The 21731-nt window shown below is 47.3% G+C and overlaps 2 protein-coding genes and 1 pseudogene across 7 annotated transcripts in view, besides 7 other annotated features; 2 read left to right on the top strand and 1 right to left on the bottom strand.

Moving 5' to 3' along the window:
• Positions 81-1686, bottom strand: TBCC (tubulin folding cofactor C). The gene has a single exon (NM_003192.3). It carries the CDS (start codon positions 1654-1656, stop codon positions 616-618), a length of 1041 nt encoding a protein of 346 aa, NP_003183.2. The 5' UTR covers positions 1657-1686; the 3' UTR covers positions 81-615.
• Positions 1175-1334: an enhancer, noted in NCBI's record as "active region_24566". NCBI's record gives its function as "activates an Ori minimal core promoter by ATAC-STARR-seq in GM12878 lymphoblastoid cells {active_cell/tissue: GM12878}" and the evidence as "EXISTENCE:reporter gene assay evidence [ECO:0000049][PMID:35858748]".
• Positions 1395-1474: an enhancer, noted in NCBI's record as "active region_24567". NCBI's record gives its function as "activates an Ori minimal core promoter by ATAC-STARR-seq in GM12878 lymphoblastoid cells {active_cell/tissue: GM12878}" and the evidence as "EXISTENCE:reporter gene assay evidence [ECO:0000049][PMID:35858748]".
• Positions 1505-1714: an enhancer, noted in NCBI's record as "active region_24568". NCBI's record gives its function as "activates an Ori minimal core promoter by ATAC-STARR-seq in GM12878 lymphoblastoid cells {active_cell/tissue: GM12878}" and the evidence as "EXISTENCE:reporter gene assay evidence [ECO:0000049][PMID:35858748]".
• Positions 1779-2742: an enhancer, noted in NCBI's record as "H3K27ac hESC enhancer chr6:42713934-42714897 (GRCh37/hg19 assembly coordinates)". NCBI's record gives its function as "activates a minimal SCP1, AML or CMV promoter by ChIP-STARR-seq in primed H9 embryonic stem cells {active_cell/tissue: H9 hESC(primed)}" and the evidence as "EXISTENCE:reporter gene assay evidence [ECO:0000049][PMID:30033119]".
• Positions 1779-2744: a biological region, named in NCBI's record as "H3K27ac hESC enhancer GRCh37_chr6:42713934-42714897".
• Positions 1922-21731, top strand: part of BICRAL (BICRA like chromatin remodeling complex associated protein) — a 122218-nt gene continuing 102408 nt past the window's right edge. Inside the window, exons 1-3 of one of the 6 annotated variants that reach the window (XM_047418542.1) lie at positions 2570-2675; positions 4097-4505; positions 15424-15517. In XM_047418542.1, coding sequence (XP_047274498.1) covers positions 15474-15517 — 44 coding nt within the window. In that variant the 5' untranslated portion in view covers positions 2570-2675; positions 4097-4505; positions 15424-15473. Of the gene's footprint in view, positions 1997-2569; positions 2676-4096; positions 4506-15423; positions 15518-21731 lie in introns of those variants that run through there. The other 5 variants (XM_047418543.1, XM_047418544.1, XM_047418545.1 and 2 more) reach the window with 5 other exon arrangements.
• Positions 2685-2744: a silencer, noted in NCBI's record as "silent region_17206". NCBI's record gives its function as "represses an Ori minimal core promoter by ATAC-STARR-seq in GM12878 lymphoblastoid cells {active_cell/tissue: GM12878}" and the evidence as "EXISTENCE:reporter gene assay evidence [ECO:0000049][PMID:35858748]".
• Positions 3129-3178: an enhancer, noted in NCBI's record as "active region_24569". NCBI's record gives its function as "activates an Ori minimal core promoter by ATAC-STARR-seq in GM12878 lymphoblastoid cells {active_cell/tissue: GM12878}" and the evidence as "EXISTENCE:reporter gene assay evidence [ECO:0000049][PMID:35858748]".
• On the top strand, positions 8538-12505 carry LOC124901226 (putative uncharacterized protein encoded by LINC00269; annotated as a pseudogene).

A 21731-nucleotide genomic window follows, 5' to 3' on the forward strand; every position in this document is an offset into this window, starting at 1 on the left:
AGCCTGGGCAACATAAGGAGAGCCCATCTCTTTAAAAACAAAACACACACACACACACACACACCAAACAAACCCATGTATTTACTGCAGACCTACTTTATTATGCACCGTGATGTTTCAAGTATCACAAACCATTACAAAGCAATATAATCACCCTCCTTCCCCCTTACTGCTTCAAACTATTGTGGTAAAAATAAATAAATAAAGCCCTGGCGTGGTGGCTCACGCCTGTAATGCCAGCACTTTGGGAAGCTGAAGCGGGTGGATCACCTGAGGTCAGGAGTTCGAGAGCAGCCCGGACAACATGGCGAAACCCCGTCTCTACTAAAAATACAAGTTCGCGTGGTGGCGCGCGCCTGTAATCCCAGCGCGCCACCACGCTGGGGGACGGAGTAAGACTCAGTCTCAAAGGCATGACGAAAATAGCAAAAATGCTTTAGTGTTATACCTGTTACGAATTTAATGGAAATTACAAGTAGGAGCCCATTACAATCTCTAGCCTTAAAATGCTGAAAACATACACAGTGTGACAATAAGTAAACTTCGAGACCCAATAAGGGGGAAAGTCCAACGTGGAAAGTATTTGGTAGGAGTGAAGAACAGAGTGACAACTGCTTAGTCCCACTGGATATTTCGCTCCTCTTCAGGAAGAATACTCCAGTTTGGGGAGGCCATATCCCGGGCCAGCCAGTTAAAATCGTCAACATCGTTCCAGTTATTTTTGCTCCTATCTAAACCAGAGCTCTCGAAGTCCTTGTCGATCTCCGGGTAGCTCCAGGTGTAAGGGGCGAACTGGATCCCACTGCAGTCCTCCACGATGGCCCTGCTGGTCACCTGCAGGAAGATGCGGGTGTCTTTCGTACTGTGTATGCGGAGCTGTTGGCAGGCCACTGCCAGCACGCAGTCACTGCAGTCCTCCAGGAAAACAGAGGTAGACACCGGACCGCAGAGCAGCTTGCAGCTGTGGGCCTTGGTTAGCCGCAGGGTGTTGGGATTTCCATACAGTCTGACCGTGCAGTTGCTCAGTTCGGTCAAAAGAACGTCGCGCTGGTGCAACTCGCTGGCTCTCTTCTCCAAGACTTGGGACTCCAGGTTGGAGAAACCGCAGACCCAGCTGGGGCCGAGGTCTCCTTCCGCCTTCTTGGGCAGCGGGGAGTCCTGTATGCTTTCAACTGCCGGGGGGATGCCAGGAGCCGCGTCTACTTTGGTAGACGAAGCAGCATCCTTTCCCCGGGTCTTGAAAGCGAAACGCTTCTTGGGCTGCAGCCCCCGGCGCCGCTCGGCCAAGGCCGCCTGCAGCCGCGCCAGCGCCTCTTGTCCCTGCCGCAGGTCGTAAGCGGCTAGGAAAAAAACTGAGTCGTTGATTAGTTTCTGCAGCCCCTGGAGCCGAGAGGCCGCCTCCTCCAGCCGCTCGACCGACTCCGCGCGCTCCAGAAGCTCTTCCACGGCCGCTCGCTCCCGAACAAAGGTGGCGACGAAAAAGTGGCTGTTCTCCTTCTCTACCTCCTGGTTCTGCCGCTTTTGTTTCCGCCTTTCAACTTCCAGCTGCCGTTCTTGTTCGCGTCTCTGAAGCCGCTCAGGCACCAGGCTCAGGTCCCGCTGGGACTCCATGTCTCCGGTCCTGACAGCAGCAGCGGAGCAACTGACGGACTCCATATTGGCTTCAAGCTTCCTCTCTCTTGTCTTCCTTCCTCCGGGCGCGCTGTCCGTGAGGCCTCCCACCAACGCGTCCGGTGATTGGCCTAACATGATGATGTCAGATCCCCGGCCTTATTTTCTTCGCCTATTGGTTCCTCTGCGTCGGAGGGGGCGGGGAGATGGGGCGGGGCCGACTGACTATGGGGGTGGGAAGACAAAGGTTCTTGTGGATGGGTGGGGTGGGAGGCAGGCGGGGGAATCTTTTTTTTCCTCTTAAAGGGGCAGGACTTATATCCGGGATTGTGGGGTGAGTTGCAGCAGCGGCAGCTGCACATGTGGGTTTGTTTATAAGAACAAGGTTAGAAACTCGCAGGCCTCCCCCTCCCCCCAGCTCCTCCCTACTACCCCCTTACAGGCCGGAGATCCGCTACTAGGGGTGTGGGTGGGAGGGATGAGTGCGTGTGGTGGGTTGGGGGGACAGGTAGTGGTGAGAAAGATGGAGCGGGGGGGAATATTGCACCGCCTGGCCCGCGCCGGAGGAAGCAGCAGCTGGAACAGCTGGCTGGGGAGCCGCTTGCATGCCTCCGGTTTTTTCTTTTCCCTTCCACCACCCCTTCCCCCAACCCATTTCTGCCTCCCCGTAGCCCTCATCCTTACCGCCCCCCTCCCCCCTATCCACTGCAGTTCGGCGCGGCCTGGGGGCTCCTGGATCCCCGCAGGCAGTTACTAGGGCAGGAGAAGGCAAGGGGCACTGCGATGGGAGAGACTGGGTTCCTCACTGCAACCTGGTTCGAGGGGCCCTGGGGGAGTCCATAAAAGGATTACTATTTTTTTGGCCAATTGCTGCAGTCGGAGGGGTGGGGGCGGGGGAAGGTGAGATCCACACCCCCTTCCTCTTTCTTCCCTGCCCTCCCCGAGCTCGGTCCCGGCCACTCCCTCCGCAGCTGGGCGTCGCCGGCCGCGCTGGGGTGAGACCCTAGCCCCGGGCTCCGTGGCTCTCTGGGGCGGTCGGTCTTAGGAAAGCGGTGGGAGAAGCGGTACATTATTTCTAGGGGTGGTGGGAGGGATTTGTCACCGGAAGTGAATGGCCTAGCCTAAAGTCGGGACCAACCCGAGGTGTGGGTGGGCAGCCAAGACGGCGCAGTCACTGGCAAAAACCCGAGGCAGCGGGCAGGGCGAGAACCCGAGACGCAGCCGCTGCCCGGGCGCGGCAGCCTCGCATGCTTCGCTCAGATCTGCGGAGCTCCCGAACCTCTTTAACCCTGCCCGCCCTTCCAACCCTAGGTTTCCTCCTTATATCCCCAGTTCCCAGCCTCCATCGTTTAAATTGGGGTATTTAACGACCCAAGAAACTTGAAATTTCACCGATCTACCTGCATTTTGATGCAGAGAAAGATGGGAGGAAACGCGAACCATTGAATTAAATCTGAGTTAAAACTGATCTCCCATTTTCACGCCCCACTCTCTTCCTTTCCTTCCCACTTAAAACAAACAAAACACACATAAATTGCTGGGCCAGAGTATTTCTCCGCTGAGAGCACAGTTCATACCGTGTGGCAGATTCCCCGCGCAGGCGGGGCGCGGGGGCAGGGGAGAGGCTTGTGTGTCCGCGTGCCTGCGTGCACCCGATGGAAAAGGGGGTGCCGAAAAACAATGGTGCTTACTCTTGTGCATAGTCATCGTTTTCACTAGTCTTGTTTTATGGGCAGATTAGGTGAGGCTTCTGTTTTTGCTTTTTTGTTTTATTTTGTTTTTTTTTTTTTTTTTTGAGACGGAGTTATGCTGTTGTTGCCCAGGCTGGAGTGCAATGGCGCGATCTCGGCTCACCGCTATCCGCCTCCCGAGTTCAAGTGATTCTCCTGCCTCAGCCTCCCGAGTAGCTGGGACTACAGGCATGCGCCACCATGTCCGGCTAATTTTGTATTTTTAGTAGAGACGGGGTTTCTCCATGTTGGTCAGGCTCGTCTCGAACTCCCGACCTCAGGTGATGCGCCCGCCTCGGCCTCCCATAGTGCCGGGATTACAGGCATGAGCCACTGTGCCTGGCCCTTTTTTTTTTTTTTTTTTTTTCCAGAAAAGCAGGTTTATTTCACAAAACTGTGGGTCTGAAAGCTGGTGGACAAGAAAGCTAGTTATATTGTCCAAGTCGTGGAGGAATTGCAATAGCTGCTTTATTTTATGAAATGTTGATTTAAGCAAAGAAGCTTTAGAGAAGATTTATTTTTCTAGAAAAAAACAACCTGACCTTTTAAGTTTTTCAGGTTGAACCTGTCTCACTCAAATTAAGAACGTTTGTAGCTAAAGAAGGTTTATTGGACTTGGAGGTTGCAGCTGGAGTGAGATAACATTTCGGTATTAGGCATAGTGAATCTATGGGTGTTGTAAGTGTTGGCTGTATCCCAAGTGGAATTGAATGTTATTAAACCCTTTCAAGAACTTCATTTCTGTCTACCAACAGGTTTTTGCTACAATCCAGTAGACTTGGGAAGTTTCTAAATACTTGAAGTTGGTTAGTTCGAACTTTCAAGAAAAGGAAACAGTTAAAAACAGAGCTTGACAGGTCACCCAGGTGACCCGGTGTGTTAGGGGCAGTTTCAAAGACTGATGTGAGGAGTAGTGGAAAGGGGTCAGTGAGTGATACGGTCATTGTGAAGCATTGGCTGGACAGTTCTTTACAGCCCCCCTGCACAGCTGCAGGCTGTGAGGTATGTGGTCAAGAAATGGAGATAAAGCTGTTTCTGAGTTCAAACACAGTAGGAAGGCTGCGAAATGGCTGGCATTGCCCGGCTGTGTTTGCATCCTCTCTCTGCCATTTGAGGGCAGTGGATTCAGCATGCATCTTTGAAATATATCCCAGCTTGTCAGAGGTAAGTGCCTGTTTTGATGGAAGGAGAGTGGGGAATGCATTACGGGGGAAATGTAGCAAAAGGCAAGCAGCTCTGAGTTCTGCATCCTACTTTCAATGATATCTCAAAGGGCTTGTGAATCAAGGTACTGCTCTCTTGTAGACATCTTGAAAAATGAAAGAATTCTAACGTATTATGGACTTTACCGTTTATTTAACAACAGTTTAGATACTTTATGGTTCTATTTGTTAGATCCCCCTTTTAACTTTTTGAAAATTTCCAACATATATAACATGGAGAGGGTATTAGAATAGTGTTCCAAGGACTCACATACCCATCACCCAGCTTCAACAACTGCCAACTGATGTTAAGTAAATAAGCCAGGAACAGAAAGAAAAATATCACATGTTCTCACTCGTATGTGGGAACTGAAAAAGTTGATCATATGGAGTTGGAGTGTAGAATGATAGTTACCAGAGGCTGGGAAGTGGAGGGAGATGAAGTGAGATTGGTTAAAGGGCACAAAGGCACAAGTTAGATAGAGGGAATAAGTTCTAGTGTCAGATAGCACAGTAGCCTAATTCGAGTTAACAATAATGTATTGTACATTTCAAAATAGCTAGAAGAAAGGATTTGAAATGTTCCCAACACAAAGAAGTGATAAATGTTTGAAGTAATAGATATCCCAATTATTCTAATTTGACCACTACATATTATATGCATGTATCAAAATATCACATGTACCTCATAAATATGTACAATTATTATATATCAATAAAAATAATAATAACTTTTTAAAAAACAGTTACCAACTGAGAATCTTGTTTCCTGTAAAGCCCTAGTCACTTCCCCACCTCTCACCCTGATTATTTTTTGGCCCATCCCTTATATTATATTATTTCATATTTTATTGTCTATAAATATTTCACTATATACCTCTAAAAGATTGGGAGTTCCTTTTTTTTTTTTTTGAGATAGAGTCTCGCTCTGTTGCCCAGGCCAGAGTGCAGTGGCACGATCTCAGCTCTGTGCAACCTCTGCCTCCCAGGTTCAAGTGATTCTCCTGCCTCAGGCTCCCAAGTAGCTAGGATTACAGGTGCCCACCACCACGCCCGGCTAATTTTTTTTAATATATATAGTTTTAGTAGAGGCGGGGTTTCACTATGTTGACCAGGCTGGTCTCGAACTCCTGACCTCATGTTCTGCCCACCTCTGCCTCCCAAGGTTCTGGGATTACAGGTGTGAGCCACCGTGCCTGGGCCCTTTTTTTTTAAATTGAGACAGGGTCTCACTCTGTCACCTAGGCTAAAGTGCAGTGGTGCAATCACAGCTTACTGTAGTCTTGACCTCCCAGGCTGAAGTGATCCTTCCACCTTAGCCTCCTGAGTAGCTGGCACTACAGGTGTGCACCACCACTCCCAGCTAAATTTGGTATTTTTTTTTGCAAAGACAGGGTTTTGCTGTGTTGTCCAGGCTGGTCTTAAACTCTTGGGCTCAAGTGATCTGCCCACCTCGGCCCCTGGAAGTGCTGGGACTACAGGTGTGAGCCCCCACGCCTGGCCACTTCCCTTTTAAGACAGCCACATTGCCGTCACCACACTCCAAAAAAGCATAGAAAATATTTTCTCAATAGCAGATTGCCAGTCTATATTCACATCTGATTATCCCATAATATACGTTTGCTTTTTTCTCAAGACGACGTCTTGCTCTGTCGCCCAGGCTGGAGTGCAATGGCGCGATCTCGGCTTACTGCAACCTCCACCTCCTGGGTTCAAGTGATTCTCATGCCTCAGCCTCCTGAGTAGCTGGGATTACAGGTGCCCACCACCATGCCTGGCTAATTTTTTGTATTTTTAGTACAGATGGGGTTTCACCATGTTGGGCCAGGCTGGTCTTGAACTCCTGACCTGAGATGATCCGCCTGCCTCAGCCTCCCAAAGTGCTGGGATTACAGGCGTGAGCCACCGCGCCCGGCCTTTTTTTTTTTTTTTTTTTTTTTTTTTTTTTAATACTTTAAGTTCTGGGATGCATGTGCAGAATGTGCAGTTTTGTTACATCGGTATACATGTGCCATGGTGGTTTGCTGCACCTATCAACCTGTTATCTAGGTTTTAAGCCCCGTATGCATTAGGTATTTGTCCTAATGCTCCCCCTCCCCTTGCCCAGTTTCCTTTTTTTAAAGTTATTTTATTTGAATAAGGATCCAAACAAGTTCCATACACTGCATTTAGTTATTGTGTCCCTTAAATCACTTTTTTTTTTTTTTAGTTAGACAAACAGCTTTATTTGAAAGATGTGGTCAGCCAAGTCCCCCTCCAACCCCAAGGTCCTGGCAGCATTGGCCTCAGGCGTGGGAGGACCCGTGTCCTGGGTGGAGAGCCTTAAATCACTTTCACTGTGTGGGTTCCTTTTTCTCTAAATTGTTTTGTTGAAGCAGCTTGGTCATTTGTTCAGTAGAGTTTCCCACAGTCTGCATTTTGCTGGTTGCATCTCTATACAGTATTTGTTAAATTTTAAACGTCTGTTGTATTTATTTGATCTTTTAATGTTACAAAGGGAATCTCATGATTGTAGTTACATGCCTCAAGAAGTAAGTAGTGAAAGCATTTAAGCAAAGGAAAACAGTCTTTAGGTATGGTAAACAATAAAGGAATAGGCCCTTCGGTGTTCTCTGGAGTTTGTCAGGGACCCTGCACTGGTGGAAGATACCAGCCACACCCAGGCAAATAAAAGGACCCTTTTTCTTTCTTTTCTTTTTTTTTTTTTTTTTTTTGAGACGGAGTTTTGCCCTTGTTGCCCAGGCTGGAGTGCAGTGGCATGATCTTGGCTCACCGCAACCCCCGCCTCCTGGGTTCAAGCGATTTTCCTGCCTCAGCCTCCCAAGAGGCTGGGATTATAGGCATGCGCCACCATGCCGGGCTAATTTTGTATTTTTAGTAGAGACGGGGTTTCTCCATGTTGGTCAGGCTGGTCTTGAACTCCTGACCTCAGATGATCCGCCCGCCTCAGCTTCCCAAAGTGCTGGGATTACAGGCATGAGTCACCGCGCCCGGCCAAGCCCCTTTTTCTAGTAGTTTGATGCCAGAAAGAAGCATCACCTATTCATCTTTCAGCAAGTCTTGACTATATATGGGATGTAAAGCATTCATTAAAGAGCTGTGCACATCAAAATTATCAAATGTTAGGCAAATCTTCCTACCTTGGCTACTTTCTGGCAGGAAGACAGTGAAAGGTGACAGTTGTGCAGGCAGGTCCTGTTGTTGGGAAGCAGGACAGGAGCAGCCTTTTCCTTCTGCCTTTGCCCCTGGCGCTCTCCTCTGCCTCAACGCCCTTGACCTTCTGAAACTTTTTTCATCATTGTACACTTAACGTCTAGCACATAGGCTGGCACGTGTTTATTTATCTAAACATCTGTTTATTAAGCACTAACTGTGCCCAGCACTGAGCCAGGGAGGCCCTAAGACTGCCAAGGTGGATAAAAACAGACATCGTCCCTGTCCTCCTTAAGAAGGCCTAATTTGGGCAAATAGTCACAAAAACATGTAAAATGTGTTCTTTGCTTGCTGAGACTGGGTCTCTCTCTCACCCAAGCTGGAGTGCAGTGGCATAATTATAGCTCACTGCAGCCTCAAACTCCTGGGCTCAAGCAATTCTCCCATTTCAGCCTCCTGAGTAGCTGGGACTACAGATGCATGCCACCGTGCCCAGCTAATTTTTTTTTTTAGATTGAGTCTCACTGTTTCCCAGGCTGGAGTGCAGTGGCGCCATGTTGACTCACTGCAGCCTCCACCTCCCAGGTTCAAGCAATTATCCTGCCCCAGCCTCCTTAGTAGCTGGGATTACAGGCACACACCACCATGTGTGGCTAATTTTTGTATTTTTAGTAGAAACAGAGTTTTGCCATGTTGGCCAGCTAGTCTCCAACTCCTGACCTTAGGTGATCCACCTGCCTCTGCTTCCCAAAGGGCTGGGATTACAGGTGTGAGCCACAGTGCCCTGCCCCCAGCTGACTTTTTTTTTTTTTTTTTTTTTTTGGTTGGGGGGGTACGGAGTTTTGCTCTGTCACCCAGGCTAGAGTGCAGTGGTGCAATCTCGGCTCACTGCAACCTCCGCCTCCCAAGTTCAAGTGATTCTGCTGCCTCAGCCTGCCGAGTAGCTGGGACGACAGGCACTTGCCACCATGCCTGGCTAATTTTTTGTATTTTTAGTAGAGACTGGTTTCACCATGTTGGCCAGGCTGGTCTCGAACTCCTGACCTCAGGTGATCCATCCACCTCACCCTCCCAAGGTGCTAGGATTACAGGCATGAGCCACCATGCCTGGCCTGATTTTTAAATGTTTTTGTAGAGACAGGGTCTTGCTGTGTTGCCCAGTCTGGTCTTGAACTCTTGGCTTCAAGGGATCCTCCTGCCTCGGCCTTCCAAAGTGCTGGGATTACAGGCATGAGCTACTACACTTGGCCAATCATTGCTATAAAAGAAAGAGTTACAAGGAGCCCACTAGTGGTGGGGGTTGCCTTGTTGGGATGGTCATGGAAAGCTTCAGAGGGGGTTGAGCTGAACGGGAAAGCATGAGTAGGAATTAACAAGAGAGAAGACATAAAGCACGTAAGGGTCCTGGAAAAGCTGGAGGAAATGGTACTTAAAACACAGGTGCAAGGAGTAGTTATAGATAGGAGGAGGGACATCCTCTCTATTGCACTGTTGTTTGAACTTGTTTGTTTTTTTTCAGACAGGGTCTCACTCTGTCACCAAGGCTGGAGTGCGGTGGCACGACCTTGGCTCAGTGCAACCCCCGCCTCCTGGGTTCAAGTGATTCTCCTTCCTCAGCCTCCTGAGTAGCTGGGATTACAGGTGTGCGCCACCACACCCAGCTAATTTTTGTATTTTTAGTAGAGATGGGGTTTCACCATGTTGGCCAGGCTGGTCTTGAACTCCTGACCTTAGGTGATCTGCCCGCCTCAGCTTCCCAAAGTGCTGGGATTACAGGCACGAGCCCCTACACTTCATGAGAAGGCATGAGCACTTCCCAAAGTGCTGGGATTACAGGCATGAGCCACTACACTTCATGGGAAGGCATGAGCACTTCCCAAAGTGCTGGGATTACAGGCATGAGCCACTACACTTCATGGGAAGGCATGAGCACTTCCCAAAGTGCTGGGATTACAGGCATGAGCCACTACACTTCATGGGAAGGCATGAGCACTTCCCAAAGTGCTGGGATTACAGGCCGTGTTTGAAGTTTTTAATGAGAATTTGCTAACATACAGAAACTTTTTTTTTTTTTTTGAGACGGAGTCTTGCTCTGTTGCCCAGGCTGGAGTGTAGTGGCACAATCTGGGCTCACTGCAAGCTCCACCTCCCGAGTTCATGCCATTCTCCTGTCTCAGCCTCCCGAGTAGCTGGGACTACAGGCGCCCGCCACCACGCCTGGCTAATTTTTTTGTATTTTTAGTAGAGACGGGGTTTCACTGTGTTAGTCAGGATGGTCTGGATCTCCTGACCTTGTGATCCGCCCATCTCGGCCTCCCAAAGTGCTGGGATTACAGGTGTGAGCCACCGTGCCATACATAGACTTTTTGACGTCAACTCATAGTAACAGATGTGTCATAATTGAAACAGATGTTTTAAGAAACAATAAATACTCTTACTATGTGCAGTGGACCCTATTTTCTATTCTATTTATTGCATTTAAAATGTGCTGATCAAGGCTGGGCATGGCAGTTCATGCCTGTAATGCCAGCACTTTGGAAGGCTGGGGCAAAAGGATTGCTTGAGGCTAAGAGTTTGAGACCAGCCTGGGCAACATAGTGAGACCCTGTCTCTACAAAAAAATGTTTTAAAAAATTGTCTGGGCATGGTGGCATGCACCTATAGTTGCAGCTATTCAGGAGGCTGAGGTAGGAAGCTCGCTTGATCCCAGGAGTTGGGGCTGCAGTGAGCCATGATCGTGCCACTGCACTTCAGCCTGGGCAACAAAACGAGACCCTGTCTCTAAACAAAAGCAAAAACAGCTGATCAAGACCTCCCTAAGTTAAACTGCAATTTTAAAATGCCGCATCAGCATTTCTTTATAGAAAAGGAAAAGGGGAGTACAGGTGCAGGAAAATGTATGGTAGTTGGTAGATGACTCTGATAGTTTCTGCGTCCTCTATAAAGCAGACAGTGAGGTCTCATGCTGAGTATGAGGAGAAAAGGGTGGAGGTAGGGGGTCTGGAAAGTGTGCAGAAGGTTTGAAAACCCTGGGGGAATAGGGAGAGTGTTGTCCAGAGAAATGGGGCTGGGTATGGTGTGGATGTTGAGCAAATACTTGGAGAATGAAGTTGGGAATGAATGAGAGCTTCCCAGGTGGGGCAATCTAAGCAGGAGACCAGCTCAAGAGAAGACAATGGGATTTGGGGCAGGTCAGAGGGGAAAAGCTCATGTGAAGAGCCTACTCCTCAGGAGCTGGGGTATCCCTGGAAGGTGGTGTCTCTGAAGAGTCTGGGCTTGACTCCTGCAGCCCCTCATGCATTTCCTATAAAACTCTTTAGAAGTGAACACCATTCTCCCCAAGACCCTCACTGCCTGTCAGCAGATGACCTTACCTACTCTTCACAGAAAAGAGGTGGCCAGATAGGACCTCCACATGCCTCCCCTCTCACTTCTAACTTATCTGTGAAGACCCACCTCTTTGTCTCTCTCCTTCTCACTCAGGGCAAAGCTCCCACCAGGGTTCTCTGTCCTCTTCCTTCCATTGCCTGGGACCTCGAGCCACCAGTCACCTCTTTCTTTTTTTTTTTTTTTTGAGATGGAGTCTTGCTCTGTTGCCCAGGCTGGAGTGCAATGGCGTGATCTCAGCTCACTGCAACCTCCGCCTCCTGGGTTCAAGCGATTCTCCTGCTTCAGCATCCCAAGTAGCTGGGATTACAGGCGCACGCCGCCACGCCCGGCTAATTTTTTTTTTGTATTTTAGTAGAGATGGGGTTTCACCGTGTTGCCCAGGTTGGTCTTGAACTCCTGAGCTCAGGAAATCCACCCATCTCGGCCTCCCAAAGTGTTAGGATTACAGGCGTGAGCCACCGCGCCCGGCCCAGTCACCTCTTTCTTCAGGATTTTTAATCTCTCTTTTCTTTGGCATCTCCTCTCAGCAAGCAAGTTTCCTCAACTTAAAACAATTTACCTTTTGTCCTATCATCCACCCAAGTGATGTTCTAACTTTCTTCCCCTAACAATAGACTTTTAAAACAATAGTCTACATTTGCTGTGTCCAGTTTCTCAATCGTCATTCCCTCCTTAGCCACTTATCCGACTTCTGCCCCTGCCATTGTATTTGAAACGGAAATTGCCCTATTCCCATTCCTTCCTAATTTTCAAATGCATCGCTCTTTGTAGCCCTAAGTATTTGATTACCCCTTCTTCTCACAGCAGGAATTTATCTCCCTGGTTCTTTCTTGGTTCTTTATTCATCCCTGATAAACTTCTCTGTGTCCATCCCTTAAATATAAGTGAGGCCAGAATTCTATTTCTTTTCTTGTTCCTCTCACCTCCTTTGGCAAGCTTACCTTCTCCCAGGGTGCCAAGTCCTGTTCATGTGCTGATTGACTCTCAGATCCCCAGCTCCTCCCTCTGCCTCTCTCTTGAGCCCAGACCTGATCTTCCAACTGCTTTCTAGATGTTTCCATGTAACTATCTACTATCCCAAACACCTCATGTTTAGGATGGCCCAAAATGAGGTTTTTATTGCCCCAGAGATCTTTTTTTTTTTCTATACGTAAGTCTGAGTTACTGATTGTTGGGTAACAACTCACCCCAAAACTTACTGCTTACTGGCTTACACAGCAATAATTTCTCACAATTCTGTGGGTTCAACTGGTACTGGAGCCTCCAAGATGGCTTCACTCACACATCTGGGGCCTTGGTGCTGGCTGTGGGCTGGGGCACCTGGCTTTTTCTCCCCATGTGCACATGCTTGCGCTGTCTCTCGCTTGGCTCTCGCGCGCGCGCTCTCTCTCTCTCTCTCTCTCTCTCTCTCCCTCTCCCCCCCCCCCACCCTCCCTCTCTCCCTCTCTCTTTGAGCTCTTGTTATTCAGTAGTGGAGTTCAAGCTTCTTTTCACAGTGGCTGGCTTCCAAGGGGGCAAAAGCAGATGCCACCAGGCCTCCTGTGGCTTTGGCTGGAATTGGTACAGTGACACTTCTATTGCATTCATATGGTCAGAGTATATCACAAAGCCAGCCCAGATTCAAGGGAAGGAGAAATGGACTGCTTTTTTTGATGGATGGAGCAAGAGTCACTTAGAGGGATGGAAAGAACTGTTGGCAGCCATCTTTGTGCAGATAATCTACCATGCTCTATATAAATAGTTTTTTTTTAACTCTTTTTTTTTTTGAGATGGAGTCTCCCTCTGTCACCCAGGCTGGAGTGCAATGGAGCAATCTCAGCTCACTGCAAGCTCCGCCTCCCAGGTTCACCCCATTCTCCTGCCTCAGCCTCCTGAGTAGCTGAGACTATAGGCGCCTGCCACAACGCCCCAGCTAATTTTTTGTATTTTTACTAGAGACGGGGTTTCACCCTGTTAGCCAGGATGGTCTCGATCTCCTGACTTCGTGATCCACCTGCCTCGGCCTCCCATAGTGCTGGGATTACAGGCTCTGGCCACCATGCCCGGCTAATTTTTGTATTTTTAGTAGAGATGGGGTTTTGCCATGTTGGCCAGAAAGATCTCGAACTCCTGGCCTCAAGTGATCTGTCTGCCTCGGCCTCCCAAATTGCTGGGATTACAGGCATGAGCCACCGCGCCCAGCCTGTTAACTCTTATGTGGCATTTGCTATGTGCCAGGAAATGGCTATTTACATGTTTTACCTCATTGAATCTTCACAACATCCCTGTGATGTACATACTACTATTATTCTCATTTAACAGATGAAGAACTGAAGTGAAGCTGACTTCCCCAGGCCTGAGAGCTAGCTAAGTCGTAGAGTTAAGATTTGTACGTGGTCTTAGCCAAAAGGCCAAGAAGCAACTAGAGCTAAGATTTGAATGGAGGCAGTCTGGCTCCTGAGTTCAGGCTTCTGACACTGCCTGTGTAATCATGAGACTACATCTGACCATGCTCATGACACCAAATCCATAGTCTTCCAAACGGGGGATCAGAGCCAACCACAGCACCTCCTTCTCTCTCACTGGTCCACCCAGTTGACAAATACTGTTAATGCTCTCTGATCTCTCTCTCTGTCTCTCTGGCCTGGCTCCCTCTCTTCAGGTTTGGCTCCTTCCTCATCTTCTTCTCCCTGGGCTATTGTTACAGTTTCCCATCTGGTCTCGTTACCCTTGGGCTTCCCTGAATCCCCCAGTTCTCTATACCGTAGCCAGTTATTGCCCTAAAATGCAAGCCGATTGTGTCACTTAAAACCTCTGCTGGCTCTCTATTGTCTCATACAGTTCAGACTCCTTAGTGTGAATGCTGGGCCTCTTGCATCTGGCCCGCGGTGTACCTCACCAGCCTCATGTCCCACCAGCGCCCTACTCCAGCCACACCAAGGTCTGCTGTCACCCAGCACACTGTGTCTGTTCACTTCCATGTATTCGTGCTGCACTTTTTAAGGCACTTTGCCAGATGGTGCAGGTGTATTGGTGAACACACAGACTGGGCTCCCTCAGAGCTCAGAAGCTAAGTAAGAGATACAGATAATTACAGTGTGGTACGATTTACACTACAATGGAAATCTGGAGTGCTGAAATTATACAGAGTAACCTATCTCAGACCAGGAGAATCAGGACTATCTTTTGGGAAATATAAGCTGGGTCCTTATGATGGAGTCGGGGGGTCCAAAAAAAAAAAAAAAAGAAAAAAGAATTGAGTGGCATCTATCCAGGTGAAGGGTGAAAGCAGAGTCACATATTCATTCTTTCTTTCTGCAGGTATTTATGGAGTACCCACTATGTTCTAGGCACTTTTCTAGGTGTTGGGACTACAGCAGTGAACGAGAGAGACCAAAAAGTCTCTGCCTTCTGGCCAGGAGGCTAGGAGAGCTCCAGTGCTTCCAGCAACAGACAGGTCATGTGCAACAAACCTGGACATGAGACAGAGACGTGTCAGGCTAAAGCAATGTTCTCAACCCTAGCTGCTCATTGATATCTCGTGGAGGCTTTACAGCATCCTAATGCCCCTTGAATAAATCTGAATCTCTGGGAGTGGGGCCTTGGCATCAGTATTTCTTAAAGCTCCCCAGGTGGTTCTCATGGGCAACCAGGGTTATAAGTCACTGTGTCAGGAACTGAAGCACTTCAAAGCTGGAAGTGGAGATCAGAGATGAAGTTAGAGAGGTGAGCAGGGGCCAGCCCACCAAGGGCTTTGTAAATCCTGTTAGGAAGTTTCAGCTTAATCTTGAAGGCACTGGAGCTGCCAAAGGGCTTAAGCAGGATGATGAGAGCATCACATTATTTTTCCTTTTTTCCCCCTTTAACAAAGGATCAGTCTGGATGCTCTGTGTGAAGTGGATTTACATGGACAAAAATAAACAGATGTTAGTTTGGAGGCCATTGCAGGAGCCAGAGAGAAATGGCATTGGGCTGCGATGATGGGAGTAAAGATAGAGGAAAGAAGGGGGAGTGTCTGAGAGATTTGGAAGGAGACTAGACAGGACTCAGTGATTAACTGGAAGCAAGAGTTGTAGAAGTTCCAGTTTGTGGAACTGGGTCTGTGGTGATCTTGGTACCTGACAGAGTGAACCTGGAGGAGAAGGTTTGGAGCAAGCTGGTAGGTCCCTTTACACATGCTGCTTGCTCCTGGGTTCCTCTGTGATCCTATGCCTCATCTTCTCTGCATAACAAGGCACTTGCCTCCTACAAGATCTGTTTTATAAATTCCTCCTCTTCTGGGAAGCCTATCTGGGTTTCGCCCTCTGTTGGTTCTGGTTAGATGATTATGAGTGTGTGAAGTCAGTATCTGTTTACAGGTATCTCTTCTGCAGCTTGAGCTTCTCCAAGCAAGGATGTGTTTTATTCCATGCTGTGTCCCTCACACAGCACCTGGGACACAGGAGGTACACAGTAAGTGCTTGTTAAAGAGATGATTTATGGCCAGGTGTGGTGGCTTAACCCTGTAATCCCAGCACTTTGGGAGGCCGGGGCGGGTGGATCACCTGAGGTCAGGAGTTCGAGACCGGCCTGACTAACATGGTGAAAGCCCGTCTGTACTAAAAATGCAAAAATTAGCCAGGCATGATGGTGCACACCTGTAATCCCAGCTACTCAGGAGGCTGAGGCAGGAGAATCACTGAACCTGGGAGGCGGAGGTTGCGGTGAGCTGAGGTTGCGGTGAGCTGAGATTGCACCATTGCACTCCAGCCTGGGCAACAAGAGCAAAACTCCATCTCAAAACAAAAAAAAATTGGGAGGCCGAGGCACGCGGATCACCTGAGGTCAGGAGTTCGAGACCAGCCTGACCAACATGAAGAAACCCCATCTCTACTACTAAAAAAAAAAAAAAAAGTGGGTCAGGGGACTTGTTCTCATTTCTAGAGTAAGGGAAAGGAGTCCAGGGGCAAGGGATATTTGCTTAGCTGATCAGGAAAGAGTCCTAGTTAAAGAGGTAGGTGCCTTAGCTGTTGACTCTAAGAGAGAGTAATATATTGTCAGCTGTATAAATTGCCTTTTGAATGTGGTTTCAACATTATTATTATTATTACTATTATTATTATTATTAGAGGCAAGGTCTTGCTATGTTGCCCAGGCTGGTCTCGAACTCCTGGGCTCAAGCAATCTGCTCATCTCAGCCTCCCAGAGAGCTGGGATTACAGGCATGAGCCACTGTGTCCGACTGCTTTTAAATTACTTTCTTGTCAAAAGGTACATAAGACCAGGCTTGGGGCTCCCATCTATAATCCCAGCAATTTGGGAGGTAGAGGCAGGTGGATCACTTGACGCCAGGAGTTGGAGACCAGCCTAGCCAACATGGCGAAACCCGATCTCTACCAAAAGTACTAAAATTAGCTGGGCATGCTGGCTGGCGCCTGTAATCCCAGCTACTTGGGAGGCTGAGGCACGAGAATTGCTTGAACCTGGGAGGTGGAGGTTGCAGTCAGCCGAGATCACGCCACTGCATTTCAGCCTGATCACGCCACTGCATTTCAGCCTGGGTGATAGAGTGAGACTCTGTCTCAAATAAAAAAAAAGGTACTTAAATCTCTTAAAACTTTTCTGCACCTGTTCTCTCACGTCTCTTCCTATCAGTGAGATGTAGTGGTGCTAATAAGTGAACAGATCTGAGTTTAAATTCTGATTAGTTGATAGGGCACCGGTGGCTCACGCCTGTAATCCCAGCAGTTTGGGAGGCTGAGGCTGGCGGATCACCTGAGGCCAGGAGTTCAAGACCAGCCTGGCCAACGTGGTGAAACCCCCATCTCTACTAAAAGTAGAAAAATTAGCTGGGCATGGTGGCACGCACCTGTAATCCCAGCTACTTGGGAGGTGGAGGATCTCTTGAACTTGGGAGGTGGAGGTTGCAGTGAGCTGAGGTTGCACCACTGCAATCCAGCCTGGGCAGCAGAGCTGGAGTGCAATAAATAAATTAATTAATTAATTCTGATTAGTTGTGCAATACTAGCTCTGTGACATTGGAAATGATATTTAACCTCTCTGAGCTTGGTTTCTTTCAACTACAAAGTGCAGATAAAGAAATATATACTTCTTTCATCTGTTGCATGAGATAATTTTAAAAAAGAAAGAAATATTTACTTCTTGGCTGGGCACAGTGGCTCATACTTGTAGTCCCAGAACTTTGGGAGGCTGAGGCAGGAGGATCACTTGAGCCCAGGAGTTCAAGACCAGCCTGGACAACATGGTGAGACCCTGCCATCTCTATAAAAAATACCAAAAAAAATAGCGAGACATGGTGGCACAGGCCTGTAGTCCTAGCTACACAGAAGGCTGAGATCGGAGGATGACTTGAGCCCAGGAGGTCGAGGCTTCAGCGAGCCATGATTGCATCACTGCACTCTATCCTGGGTGACCTTGTCTCAAAAAAAAAAAAGAAAGAAAAAGAAATACGTACTTCTTTCAGGATTATCGTGATGTTAAATAAAGTGCTTACAGTATGGAAAAGTACCAAGTATTGGGCCAGGCCTACAGTAGCTCCTCAAAAATGCCAGGTCCTTCTGCCTTCCAGTCACCACGACCTTTTATACTTTTGTTCTTTTGCAGTTCCCAGTCCTTAAGGTCAGTGGTGGAGCCGAATTTGCTTTGTACTCTATGACTTTCTTGGAAAGGGCCCTTTATTGATTCCCTTATGAATAGGTCTCTGGCCTTTCTGCAATGCTGGGGAATAGTTGGGCAGAATTTACATGTAAATAATGCCAGGAAAAAACAAAACAAAAAGGCCCCAAAGAATCCTAGAAAGACAGAGCTGGGCAAACTCTGAGGGTTCCTTTAATGCCAGGACAAAATTTAACTGGCTTGTAATGAAAGGAAAAGATAAAGATATATAGTGATTTCAATGACAGTTTTAAAAACTTTTTTTAAAGCATTTTTTTTATGAAAGCTTCGCTATCTGTGAAATCTTCACTTTTGGGAACCACTAATCTAATCTTATCTCACTTTACAGATAAGGGCATGTAAAACACTTGTGTGTTATGTAATATTAGTGGTATATGAGGTGTCTTCACAAAGTCTAAGTATTTAATTGTAAGTTCCTGGAGGGATGTGGTTGTGTCTCCTATTTTTTACACCCCATAATCCCAGTTTATGGCATCATGCCTGGCATGTGAGGCACCCAATAATTATCTAGCTGGGTGTGGTAGACACACCTATAATCCCAGCACTTATTCCTTGAGCCTAGGAGTTCAAGACCAGCCTGGGCAACAATGATACTTCGTCTCTACTAACAGTAAAATAACTTAAGCCTGGTGTGGTGGTACACGCCTGTAGTCCCAGCTACCCAGGTGACTGAGGCAGAGGATTGCTTGAGCCTGGGAGGTCGAGGCTGCTGTGAGCCGTGATCATACCCACTGCACTCCAGCTTGGGTAACAGAGTGAGACTCTGTCTCAAAAAAAAAAAAAAATCTATTGAATGAATAAATGAAATAGCCTGGCACTCTTGAACCTTAGATTGTAATGATATTTATTCTTACTGATAGAGCTAGTAAACTCCTCGAGGGAGCCTCTGCCCCTTATTGTCCAGTAGAACAGATTCTCTGGGTGAATGAGCCCAAAGGTCAAACAGATCAAGCATTTTCAAGAAAAGATAACCCAATAACCTGAATCATAGCAGGAACCACGAGGTACTTCACTTATATTATCTCATTTAATCTTCATGGTAATCTTGCCAGGAGGGTAATCATTTGAAGCAAGAACAGGTTTAAGATTTCTTAAAAGACACAGATGTAAGTCTTTAATACAGATTGGGAAGAGGATTACTTTTTCTGTCTCAGGTTCTTCAGGATAAAGGATAAAGATTTGGAGATCGTTTAAAAGCTTTTATATAAATGCTCATTCACTGAGTTCAAATACTTTTAAAATGTCCTGGCAGTTGAAAGTTAAATAAGAAGCAAAAAATTATTCTTCTGCCTAGAATTTTTAAGGTTATCTTCTTTAGGTAGGATTTTATTGTTTGCTATGATGTGCCGCTTTTCTTGAAATACTACAAACCAGTGTTTTCAGCTGGGTGCGGTGGCTCACACCTGTAATTTCAGCACTTTGGGAGGCTAAGGCAAGCGGATCACTTGAGGTCAGGAGTTCAAGACCAGCCTGGCTGACATGGTGAAACCCCATCTCTACTAAAAATGTAAAAATTAGCTGGGCATGGTGGCATGTGCCTGTAATCCCAGGTACTTGGGAGGCTAAGGCAAGAGAATCACTTCAACCCGGGAGGTGGAGGTTGCAGTGAGCCAAGATTACACCACTGCACTCCAGCCTGAGCAACAGAGTGAGACTCTGTCTCAGAAAAAAACAAAAAACAAACAAAAAAAACGAGCGTTTTCAAAATGCAGGTACCAAGCCAGTGAGGTCATGAAATGCATTTAGTGCATTAAAAAAAAAAAAAAAAGACAAAAGAAAATAGCATATTAAATGTCTGCCAAGGCTGGGCACAGTGGCTCACACCTGTAATCCCAGCACTTTGGGAGGCCGAGGCGGGCAGATCACCTGAGGTCAGGAGTTCAAGACCAGCCTGGCCAACATGGTGAAACCCTGTCTCTACTAAAAATACAAAAATTAGCCGGGTGTGGTGGCACGCGCCTGTAGTCCCAGCTACTCGGGAGGCTGAGGCAGGAGAATCACTTGAACCTGGGAGGCAGAGGTTGCAGTGAGCCAAGATCATGCCACTGTACTCCAGCCTGGGCGACAGAGCAAGACTTTGTTTCCGAAAAAAAAAAAACAAAAATGTCTGTCGGGCACAGTGGCCCACACCTGTAATCCCAGCACTTTGGGAGGCGGAGGTGGGTGGGAGGATTGCTTGAGCCTAGGAGTTCAAGACCAGCCTAGGCAACATGGCGTAACCTCGTCTCCACAAAAATAAAAAAAATTAGCCAGGTGTGGTGGCACGTGCCTGTAGTCCCAGCTACTCCAGAGGCTGAGGTTGGAGGATCACCTGAGCCTGGGAAGTTGAGGCTGCAGTGAGCCATGATTGCACCTGGGCAGCAGAGTAAGACTCTGTCTTAAAAAAAAAAAAAAGAGTTTTGTGTTGCATATATAGATTTATATTATGTAACTGTATTCTATATATACACATACACGACTTGAGAGATAGGTTGTATTCTTTTTATAGGTTATGGGGTCTTTTGTTTGTTTGTTTTTTTGAGACGGAGTCTTGCTTTGTCACCCAGGCTGGAATGCAGTGGTGCGATCTCAGCTCACTTGCAAGCTCTGCCTCCCGGGTTCATGCCATTCTCCTGCCTCAGCCTCCCGAGTAACTGGTACTACAGGCGTGTGCCACCACGCCTGGCTAAGTTTTTGTATTTTTAGTAGAGACGGGATTTTACCGTATTAGCCAGGATGGTCTTGATCTCCTGACCTTGTGATCCACCCGCCTCAACCTCCCAAAGTGCTGGGATTACAGGCATGAGCGACCACGCCCGGCCTAGGTTATGTTTTAAAAATGTTAGAAAAACGTTTTGTGAATAAATGATGCCTTGCACTTTATGGGGCTCAGAAGTGTTTGTTGAATTGGATAAAGAGCTGTCTTTGTGTCATTACAACGCTGTAGCAATAAGGAACTATGCATGCTGAGCCAACTCCTGTGAAATGTCTTGTCAAGTGAGAACCTATTTGTGCTGCAGAGACTTTTCCCTTCTGTAGTTGGTAATAATAATGAAAGTTTGCTTTTACAAAGTAACTATTACAAAGTTGCATTATTATTGCTAAACAGTGAAAGAGGCTGATTTGGAGGACGGAATAATGGCAGGAAACATTTAGGAATGTGAATGCGTAACAGGGCTATGTTGCCAGGGATTTGTAGCTCTGACAATTGGGAGTTCTCTCTGGGAGAGATCCCAGTGGTCCATGACATGTAGTAATTTGAAATTTGCTGAGGCGCAAATTCAAGTACATCCTAGGAGGCTTGTGGGGAGGGAGACAGTCATTGAGCTAGTGAGCAAGCCACGCCCCCTGCTCCATGTATGTGTTTAAACATGGCATGCATGCTATTTTTTTCTGTTCTTTGTCTTCACAGAGTAATTCCCTTCAGGTAATAGAAACTCTTTTCATCTGAAGAATGATGATGAAGTGAAAGGTGAAGCTTGAGTGAAATGTGTGTTGCAAACATAAGCCAAGGAAAATATAGGCTCTTGATAAAGGTGTGAGTTCCCCAGAAAGCCAGAGCCACTGTAGGACTTCATGTATCGTACAAGTGGGCGATTCCTGGTGCTCTCTTGTTGGTAGCTCTACAGGCTGTCAGGGATCAAGGCAATATTATTTGCTGCTTTTTTTTTAAGAACCTGTAGGGGTGAGCATTGATTTGAGGCAATATATAATGATTGATTATATAGCCTGTGGAAGATAGAAACTTAGTGTGTAGAAATCGTTTAAAAAGAGGAAAAACTATATTGTATATGTGGGGATTTGTTTGTTTGCTACTAATTCCAGTGCTTTTTGTTTTTGTTTTCTATTTATTTCTTTTGAGACCAGGTTATAAGACTGGCTAATTTTTGTATTTCTGGTAGAGACAGGATTTTGCCCAGGCTGGTCTCGAACTCCTGGGCTCAAGCTATCCATCCACCTTAGCTTCCCAAAGTGCTGGGAATGCAGATGTGAGCCACCATGCCCAGCCTTC

This window comes from Homo sapiens, chromosome 6 (assembly GCF_000001405.40).
Source record: "Homo sapiens chromosome 6, GRCh38.p14 Primary Assembly".
Lineage (NCBI taxonomy): Eukaryota > Metazoa > Chordata > Mammalia > Primates > Hominidae > Homo > Homo sapiens.